This window comes from Homo sapiens, chromosome 18, assembly GCF_000001405.40.
Source record: "Homo sapiens chromosome 18, GRCh38.p14 Primary Assembly".
In the NCBI taxonomy this organism is placed as follows: Eukaryota; Metazoa; Chordata; class Mammalia; order Primates; family Hominidae; genus Homo; species Homo sapiens.
The window spans coordinates 76250983-76261310 of record NC_000018.10 but is presented as its reverse complement, the minus strand read 5'-3'; the positions used below and the strand labels follow the sequence as shown (position 1 = coordinate 76261310).

The following is a 10328-nucleotide window of genomic DNA, read 5'->3' as shown; positions in this document are numbered from 1 at the left end:
CTCCGAGAGAGAGCAGCTCTTGTTCTTGTTCCATTCGGGTTTTCAGGGATGCTCTCCCGGGAGGCTCAGGGCCTGGCAGTGCAGGCATTGTGATGCTAAGTTTGCAGTAACTAGACATCAGCGAGCACGCAGCCTCATTTTCTGCTCCACACAAGGCTGTACTGTATGGATCGCTCATTTCTTCCTGAGAAATATCTTTTAAAGCCTCGCTTCTTTCCTGGGGAAGAGAGGAGCCGCCACAACTGCTTTTCGCCACCCAAGTTTCAGTTTCTCTGGCTACCAAATCCCCCTTTGTGCCAGAAATACAGTGACTAATAACAATGAATAAAAAAAAGTTGAATCTGGGCCGGGCGCGGTGGCTCACGCCTGTAATCCCAGCACTTTGGGAGGCCGAGGCGGGTGGATCATGAGGTCAGGAGATCGAGACCATCCTGGCTAACAAGGTGAAACCCCGTCTCTACTAAAAATACAAAAAATTAGCCGGGCGCGGTGGCGGGCGCCTGTAGTCCCAGCTACTCGGGAGGCTGAGGCAGGAGAATGGCGTGAACCCGGGAGGCGGAGTTTGCAGTGAGCCGAGATTGCGCCACTGCAGTCCGCAGTCCGGCCTGGGCGACAGAGCGAGACTCCGTCTCAAAAAAAAAAAAAAAAAAAAAAAGTTGAATCTGACCAGAATTGATGTGAAGGGATGCTGCCTTTCTGATTCTGAAGATTTGCTCTTGTGTTTGACATTACAATTAAAGGCATGTTTTGGATGAATGTCTTCACAAGCAGAAATCATGAATGAGCTAAACAGTATCCCAGAGGGGGTGTGTGCTGAGCACGATGGGCATAAACTTTTTATTATATACATTGCTGCCCCTGTAATTAGTACAGTGCTAGAAATATGATTTATTGATAGTGCAAACACATTTGTAATGTGCTGAGGGTGGGTGTGTGCTACATGGAGCACTCCGGACACTGGATCCCTTGGAAATGCAATTCTGTGAACCCCCTCCCCCCCACCCCCAGGACTTTGCTTTTCTTCTGGATTTGCAACTCTTTTATTCAGCTGTCGTGTATGGAACTGAAATCATAACTTTGCCAAATACTCAAATGTTGATTGGTGGCAGAGAATGCCAATTTCTTTGTATGCGGGATAGACCAGAATTCAAATGAAAAACAGGGAAATAAAAGGGATATTAAAGAAAATAATTATCCTAAAATTCCATTTTATTTCAAATAATAACTTTCCAGTTTCCCCCTTCTTTCAAAGTGAAAGAGCATGATTTTGTTTTTCTGATGGTAAATAGGTGGGCCCATGTTTGTCCTCGTGAGTGTGCTCTGGTTGGATGTTGCATGACGCGTCCCAGTGTCCACGCCAGTGTCGGGCTGCGCAGTCAGCTGCACCGAGGATTCCATCACGCCGGCCCCTCCATGACCTCCGCCTGCCTTGCCCAGCCAGACTTCCAAAACCAGAGGGTTTTTCTTTCAGAGCAGTGTCTGTCCAGGAATTCCCTTGGCAAGAGGCAGAATCATCAGCCTGTAAGGTCTGCACGCCTGTTGTGTGTGTGCATGTGTGTGTGCATATATATATATATATATATAATTTTAAGGCAGCAACTCAGCATACTATATTACAAAAATAGCCCAGTGAGAAAGCACTGTGTTTAGAAATATAACTTCTCATTCAAATCAGGACAAGAGGCAGAAGGGGTCAGGAGGTAAAATGAACTCTCTCTCTCTCTGTGTGTGTGTGTGTGTATGCACACACGCGCGTGTGTCTCCCATGAATAAATGAGGCCGAGGTGCAGCACAGCAGGCTGGCCTCTGTCCTGGGCCTCTGCATCCCTTCGAGGGTTAATGCAGAGGGGAGGCTGGTTCCTAGCTGATCCATTTCAGCTGGTCCCCGCCAGGCAGCTGCCCCGCATTAACCCCCTCCCGCCCAAGCTGCAGGCTGTGGACTGCCCCTATGGGTGCTAGGGAGGGGTTAAGAATCTCTTACAACACACACACTCTTCGACATTCTGCATCTCTGCAGTGGCTGCCAATCTGTATCACTGCTTTCGGGACATGGCTTTCTTCTCGCAGTAGCCATCGGAGACCTCCAGGGTAGAAAACCAGCTTTTTGAGATGAGTTCAAATGCATTCTCCCCAGAGGACAGCAGAGGACCAGCTGAGATTTGTTACGGCAGGGCTGCGTAAAGAATTTTCTCATGCTTTACTCCACAGTGTTAGGGGGACACACTGTGCTCCTTTCTCTTGAGCACAGGAGGGGTGATGCAGTGGTTAGCAGATATTTGCAAAATGAAAATAAACTATATTTTCCTAAGATAATTACGCTGGTGATTTCTTAGAAATTTGCGGTTCTTAACTCTCTATCCATTTATCTGACGTGATATGGAACTAAAAAAATACCTCATTGAGTTTGCTCTAGCTCTATCTCCCATTTGTCACATTACCATTGAACTTTAGGATTTTAAGCTATCAATTATAACAATTATAGATTGAAATAACATAGTATAAAAATATGAGCTTTTACTATTTCTTACGGGAAAGAACAAAGTTGTACAGCACTTAATCTTACCCTTCCTATTTTTTTTCTTCTATAACTTGAAGAAATATTGGTCTCTAAGCGGATATGTTCTGCTGACTGTATGTTTTTAAAACCACGGTTCCATAAGCATTTTCTTCCTAGCTCAGAAACTTACCAAATGTTTGCTCTCGGCCAGAAAGTAAGGACATATACCTAGTGACATTAAGCCTGGATCTCCTTCAGGTAATCCAGCCTGAACTTTTTGTTCATAGCTTGCTTTCTAGAACATACCCTGTCTCTGAGGATTGGGAATCCATGCTGATTTGCATGGCTTCAGCCATATCAGGAAGAGACTAACAAATGGCTTAATCATCATCACAAACACGCTGTGTATGCTGTGTGGGTGTCAGGACGGCTTTGCCAAAACCTCTCACCAGCCCAGGAAAACACTGAAAGTGCTGCACCTACAGCTTGAGACCTCAAAGTATTATTTTATTTTTACTGAAGGTACAAGTAACTAAAAAGTTTTTTTTTTTTCCTGACAAATGTTCCAATGTTCATTTTTTTGTTAAATGAAAGAAGAGGACAGACAGGTGGAAAAACACAAAATTAGCACATAGAAAATTAAATAAAAATCTTATTTGGATTCCCAAAAGCCTAAAGTAGAGAAATCTCACTGTGACCGTTGTCAGCCTCCTGGAAGCTGGTAAATTCATGCATTCTTTGAGATGTTTTTTCATGCAAAGCAAAAACTGTCTTCAATTTTCTTCCTGCTTTTTTTTTTTTTTTTTTTTTGAAACTTGAAATCAAATCACCACTCCCTTATCCACATTTCAAAATTTCAACCTCTATAAATACAGGGAAATAGAATTCTGGAGGTGGAGAAAGAAACTGCAGTGGAAATATCCAATTTTATACCATGGCTTATTGGACAAGAACAAGGGTAATTTGACTAAAGCTTCAATTTACAAGGCATCTTTAGCAATGCATTTGGTGCACGCGCATGGCAGCTAGATTGACAAGCAGATCCCGACAGCTACAGAGCTTCAATAAAACACACACCACGAAGGCTTTACACGATGTACAGTAACGGCTTCTTTGGAGCTGTTATGGTCTATTGGGTCAATAATAATCCACTTTTTAAAGAGTGCCAAAATGTGAATTTACACAGCAGACTGTAATAGTCCCTGATTTAGCAGGTAAATTATATGAATTCTTAGAATTTCTATACGTACTATGGCACATGCACACCATCGGAATGTTCTGTTGTGTAAAGCAGGAGTCCACAGAGTCAAACATGCAGCATGCTTCCAATTGCTGATAAAAATGATACACTGCAGCTGGGGAAATGAAAATACTTGTTAACATTTGGAACTTTAATACCACAATTTACATTTCACCTTACCTTTAAATGGGTATATTTTGATCGACATCCTGGATTACTTGCATCATCATAAATTCTGTTTCCCTTAAAATGAAGTTATTTTCATTTCAAACTATATTAAAAATACATTGACTATACAACTTTGCGGTAGGTTGATGCATAGCATTTAATTTACATGTGATATTTATAAGTAAACATTTATAAGTAAACATCTCTTCTATAGATTTATAATTTCTGTTTTCTTCAGTTACACAGAAATAGGCAGCTCTGAACGTGCAGGGCTGCAGCTGCACCTAACAACATGCCTGATTCCTTCCAGCAGGTGGAGGCATACTGCAAGAAGCTTCCAAAGAAACAACCAAAAATATTTTTTCCCCAAGCAAACTCTGACATTTAGGGGAAAACAAAATATCCCAAAAAAGAGGGAAATTAGATGAACAGTTTGCAACAGGGATAGTGGTGTGGTGTGACACGGTTTTACCTCATAAAGAACCTGGAGTGAAGATATTTCATAGCCCCTCCTTGCTGTAAACACCCTCTCTTGGCTTCCTTTCTGTCTGCTACAGTTGGACATTTTTCCAGAAGAAAAGCCTGGTGAATTATTTAATAAATGAAATCCAGTAAGACAACCATGTTCAAAGACATTTTCTCAAATTTCCTCCAAATAAGTGCAGCAGTAATGCACTACCAGGGATATGCACATGTAGGTACACACACGCACACACACATACACACACATACTCTGAAAACTACTCTAGACACATTACTATCCCGCTTTAGTCACTGTGTATGTGTGTATGTGTGTGTGTGTGTGTGTGTGTGTGTGTGTGTGTGTGTTCTACTCATTTGGCCAGAACCAGTGATTTCTCTGGTTCTTTTGTGAGTGTTTGGTGTATATTCCTGCCAGTGTATTTGAAAAAAAAAAAAAAAAAAAAAAGCTAAGAATTTAAAGTACAGACAAACCAGAAAAATTTCTGCCTGAAAACCTGGCTTTTCTAGAATGAGAGAGAGTTCTTTCAAAGACCACCCTTCACTTTCACTTTTAGGATAGATTAACATGTGCCGTCTGCAATGGACAATGACGTGGCCGAAGAACGCCTATGTACAGGATTAACATGGTCTACTTGGAAGGATTTGAATGCTTTTCGATCCATAGTATGATAACATAATGCAGCAAATTATAGGTCTCGCCTTCCTTAGCAAGGAGCTGGGAGCAGAATTGCAGTATAGTAATGCTGTGGTCCCCAGCTCCCCCTCCCTGCTCCCAGGGCCTGTTGACTGCAAATATCTACCATCTACAGTATTGACTGGTTTATCAGGCAGCAGGTATCTCTATCAGTCTATCTTGAATTGTCATCCAGCAGAAGATTAAACACTGCCTGCCTCCTACTTGTGATTTTTAGTCTTCACATCACAAAGTTTTCAATCACATTTCAGCAGTGTGCATTTAGCTTACAGAACTCTGAGCACTTATCTTCCCAAAACAGGGGATTTAGACCATGTTTACCTCGTAGTTCCAAGATATCTGTCTGCAAGCCTGCCCACATTTAGGGTGTGAGATGGGTTTCAAATCTCTTCTCTCTTCTATCTCCCTCTCTCTCCTCTCTCTCTCTCTTTTTCTCTCTAGTTCCCTACATAACTAGACTCTGGACCCAACAACAATCAACAAAGAATTTGCATAATGGACAAGTGTCAGTTTTTCAAGGAGTCCTCCAGGGCAGTGACCTTGTGTTGTTAGTTTTCAAGATGAAAGAACTATAACTGTGGACGGCTTTGTTCTAAGTGGCTTTCTCATTAATAATCTTCAGAAGACCGTGATGACCACGTGGCTTTCAGCGCCTGAATCAGCCAGAGAGAAGGCTGGATGTCAGCTGTGTACACTTCTTGTCTCTCCATCGGGTACCTGTGAGGAAGCTGTGGTCTGCGAGGGATCCTAAGAAAGAAACATCTTCCCAGTTTATGAGGGATTCAGCACAAACACGTTGATACCAAATCAGTGTTCAGCTGCCATTGTGCCTGGCTGATGCTTGCGATTCCCAATCAGTAGACTAATGAGATTCCGGGTACACAGAATCCGGAGAGAAGGGCACGCGCATTCTCTCCAGAACGCCTGAAAGGAAGTCAGTCTGAAGTCCGGCCGGATGGGAATTGGACAGACACACTTCCGGCTAAGTACGGGCGTAATAATGGTGATTAAAACTGTTCACCGTTCCTTTGAGTTCCTCGTAGATTCTGGATATTAGTCCTTTGTTGGAGGTATAGATTGTGAAGATTTTCTCCAATTCATCGCCGTTTTTTAGAGTTTTTCTCACTAAATATTGACTAACGGAACCTAGCCCTGTAATGTTGATAGTCGGGCGGGTCGGAAGTGGCTGAGGTGGAGTATCTGCAGGAGAAGAACTGAGGCTCCTAAGTGCAGCATCTTGTCCAAGAGGTTTCGTCCCAATGCGTGGGGAACATCCGGATTGTGATGTTTAGCTCTCAGTTTCTAACTTGGGCATTCTAGCAACTGTATTTCTCATTTAATGTTTTATGGGCACACATGCAGAGGAGTTTTCGTCACTGAAAAGCCCGACAACTTCCCCTGCCAACCCATTGGAATTAAAAAAACCTCGATAACCTCTTAAACACATGGAAATGGAACCCTGAGCAGAGGTAAAAGCCTAGCAGTGATCACTCTTTTGGCGACTTGGAAATCGGGGTGAGCTTTTATCCGTTACCTGTGCCCTGTTGTTAGGGGTCGACTGCTGCTGTTCTTCCTTGGAAACTGGCTCCACTGCATTTCGGGGCTGGGATGTTGTTAAAGCATTCACAGCCCTCAGAGCACATGACGAGGGAGTTGGGAAATGAAGCAAGCAGGACCTTCCACTTTGTAGCAGACTTATTTCTGGAGAAACTGATGGTTGGGGCCACAAAACGCTTTCAGTGTAGGCTCATCATGACTCATTTGGACATCCTATTTTCTCTCCTTATGTATGAGATTGTGGTGGGTATCTGTACAGCCTAAGGACCTTGGGTGGACCTGGCCAGCAATGGGACTGTTACTGATGATGCATCACATGGTGTCACTAGGAAAAGCATAGATCAGCTGAGGATCAATCTTCCCACCAGGTGTGTGTGAAAATGTAGGTTATGTGCTTCCTTCAGCCCCAAACCTGTTGTCCACACCAGAATCTGGAAATAATCTCATTGGAATTGGGAGAATGATTGATGATACTCAGTGGTGAGTGTTCTATTTTTAATATCCACAATTTTTTAAAAAGTCTAGCACCTAAAGAAAAACATGTTCCTTTCTTCAGTACTTGGCTATTTATGGCAAACTTTAAGAAGGTGGAACCATTTACAGTCACAAAAATATTAATTCTATTAAGTGTACATCCATTAGAATTACCAGAGGCATGAGGAGTTAACTGCTCAGCAGAGCAAATAGGCCTGAATGGGGTTATATGCAAAATGAAACAAAATTCCCCATGCTTGTTCTCCTGAGTGCCAACACCTTAAGCTCCATAAAATTCCACTAATTGAGCTTGGAGGAGAAACTAAGGTTGGAATGATCTTTGAAGAATGAATCCATCTCTCGCTCTGGTATTCTTTGCAGAATGTCTTATGTCTAAGTGTCAGGTGCATCCATATCAACTTGTTTTCAAAATAGGTAAATATCTTAAAGTATTTTGTAAAATGCAGAAAAGCTATTGCATTATGAGAAAAAGTATGGAGGTCACACTGCATCTCTAAACTAGATGTGCAAATCAGTATTTGTTGAATTGATTTGAATATATATTGATTTAATAGTTTTTCTACATGCCTAGTATAAATTGAGGGAGATATTTGGAGGTGAGGAAGATGTTTTGTTAAATTTGTTTATTTAACAAGTGCTAATTTCTGGAGGTTTGAAAATTATAACATACTATCTCTGCCCTCAAGGATTTAATAGGCTAAATTTTGGGAGTGGGGAAGGTGGAAATATAAACACAGATATCAAATGAATTGTCATGTGTTATAATACTTTAGTGTGTTTGGTTAAAATGAATTCATAAAGGTTATTTATCATTTCATTTGGGAGAGTTAATAGGAAAAAAACAACATTTAGCTAAGTTCTTGTAGAGTGAGGATCGTTTGCGGGGAATGAGGAAAACGTGTAAGTAATTAGGCATTTAGATAGAGGAACATTGGTTTCAAATTTGTTAAATGCACGTTTTTACCCTGGCAAACTAAGTATTCTTGCCATTTTACACAGATGAGAACAATTTCTGTTTGCTTTTCCTGTTTATCAGCAAATCCTAGGCATTTCCCACACAGCACACATAGGGGGCACTACAGTTTGAGACTTCACATAAAAGCCTTTTTCATGTCACCTTATGTGGTGGCAACATTATTTGACAAAAATCTGTTTAACGTGGGCCCTTCCAAGCATTCAGTTAACTGCCCAGAGCCCACACATAGCTGATTTTGGTTAGCTATTTCTTGGATCACAAAATGACACTGATAAAAAGTTAAAAAAAAGTATTTAAGATTCATTTAAGCAACAATTAGGAATAGTAGTATGCAAAGTCACTTTCTGAGAGGGTTATTGTCTCATGTGCTTTATGATATGGTAGTTTGGAAATCAAAAGATTGAAGTTCTATTCCCTCCTTTCCCCATTAGAGCTGGTGCCTTACATACCACATGCAGCATCTGTGAGCCTCAGTTTTCTGTATGGAAATGAAATCCATAATAAACGAATTGTATTGAGTTTATTATACCTCCATCTAGGAGGTATGCAGAAACATCTTAGAAACCAGAAATACTATCATTGCTATTAATCACAAGAAGAATAATTACTATTTGTAATGTCAGGAATGACAATCCAGGAATATTTCTTAATTTTAAAATGCTGAAACATTAAAAGGGGGTTCATTTCCTATGAAATCCTAGATTTGATTTACTTTAAAAGTTACCCATCTACCCAAGCATGAATACAGCTTTGCATGGCACGTGTTGCCAATAAGGGGATTGTAAAATCAAATATGCATATTTTAGAATTTTAAATTTGCAGTATGTTAGATCTTGAGTTTATCTTTCCAAAGCAGCATATGGGGATGAGATATTTAGATATGAAAAATAACCCACACTTTTCAGAATGTTTGGTGTAACAATGCTAATTCCCTACTCAGTTGATTGGGATGCAATGATTTCATGAAAATGTCAGAGCAGGTGTATGGAAAAGACATTATGGTGTCAAAATGAGATGAAACAATGTTAATTTGTGTGTGGAAAGTCCGTGTCTCTGCCAAGATGAACTAGAACCCTGTATTCAGCCATGTTGAGCCTTGGCGCACCAGGGCTTGGAGGCCTGGCATGGAAGGTCCCAGAACGCCAGAGGATGTGACATCCCACAAGGAACAAGATTTATTTCCTTCTTCCCACCTTGGGGCTAAGCATAAAGAGAGGTAACGGCGTTTGAGGAATTAAGAGCATGGCACCAAAGTTGCTCGTGCTGCAACAGTCCCAGAGTGGGCCGGGTAATCCAGTGCACGGGAGGTCCAGCAGGATGGAGGGAGTGGAGGAAGAGGAGGCGGGTGGAGAGAAACTGCTTTCTGGCCGCCAATATGGATTGGGTGTACACGTTTGAGGCTCATACTTTTTTGTAAATTGATGCATTTCTCTGGTGTAAATGTCCCTGAGTGTTAAAATGTGTTCAGCACCTCTGTGACGTCTGGGAGTCTGAATTTGCCGAACAAAGGTGAGTATTAATTCCAGTTTGGGTGTTAATTTGGCCTCGATAGAACACTCCAGTAAAACTAACATTTGACTAGGACCCAGAATAGAAGAAGGAGCCAAAGATATGGAAGGAAAATAGTAATTCTAAGTGCTTTGAAATCTATATAGCATTTTTTTAAAGATTCTTTTTTTTTCCTCCCCTTAGATTTTTCACAGTCTCTGTTCCCACTTCATTATTTAATACAGCTTGTCTGGAGTTGACCAGCAGTCTTAAAGAATGTCAAATCTTCACTTTCCATTCAAGAAATAAGACCCTCCTAGGACTTTCTAAATATTTCTGTTTTCCATCTAACAAGAATTACCATATGCTATAATGGAACAATGATCCGACTGGTTTTAGGAAGCCTTGATTTTAGTGCTGTTGTTGATAGGGACTGACTTATGTGACCTTGAGACGTTACTTCTCTGGACTTTGCTTTTTTGATCTGTAGATTTGGGGCAGGCTGGAGTGCTGGTCTAGATGACCCCCAAGGATACCTCCCACAATCTTCCTCAGTTTTACGGGACTTTTCTAAGGTGAGGCATCCACTGATAACCTGTAAATGAATGAAAGTGTAATTAGTGAGTTTGTTATAGGCAACGCAGTCTAGACTATTAATGCATAAATAAAAGTGCATATTTTTGGAGATTGCCCGTTTCCGGTTTTGGAGCCTGCTTTCTATTGTCATCAT

General features: G+C 41.3%; 2 long non-coding RNA genes across 6 annotated transcripts in view; one reads left to right on the top strand and one right to left on the bottom strand.

Annotated features, from left to right (window-relative positions):
* Positions 1-1191: 1191 nt before the first annotated feature.
* Positions 1192-10328, bottom strand: part of LOC105372209 (uncharacterized) — a 27195-nt gene continuing 18058 nt past the window's right edge. For 3 of the 5 annotated variants that reach the window (XR_002958200.2, XR_935651.3, XR_002958199.1), the window contains 5 exons: positions 9960-10193; positions 4378-4487; positions 3748-3852; positions 1982-2173; positions 1192-1494 (listed from right to left, as the gene is read on the bottom strand). This is a non-coding gene — a long non-coding RNA (uncharacterized LOC105372209). Of the gene's footprint in view, positions 1495-1981; positions 2174-3747; positions 3853-4377; positions 4488-5403; positions 10194-10328 lie in introns of those variants that run through there. The other 2 variants (XR_935653.3, XR_007066475.1) reach the window with 2 other exon arrangements.
* Positions 6051-10328, top strand: part of LOC105372210 (uncharacterized) — a 38239-nt gene continuing 33961 nt past the window's right edge. The window contains exon 1 of the long non-coding RNA XR_935654.3: positions 6051-7119. This is a non-coding gene — a long non-coding RNA (uncharacterized LOC105372210). The remainder of the gene's footprint in view (positions 7120-10328) is intronic.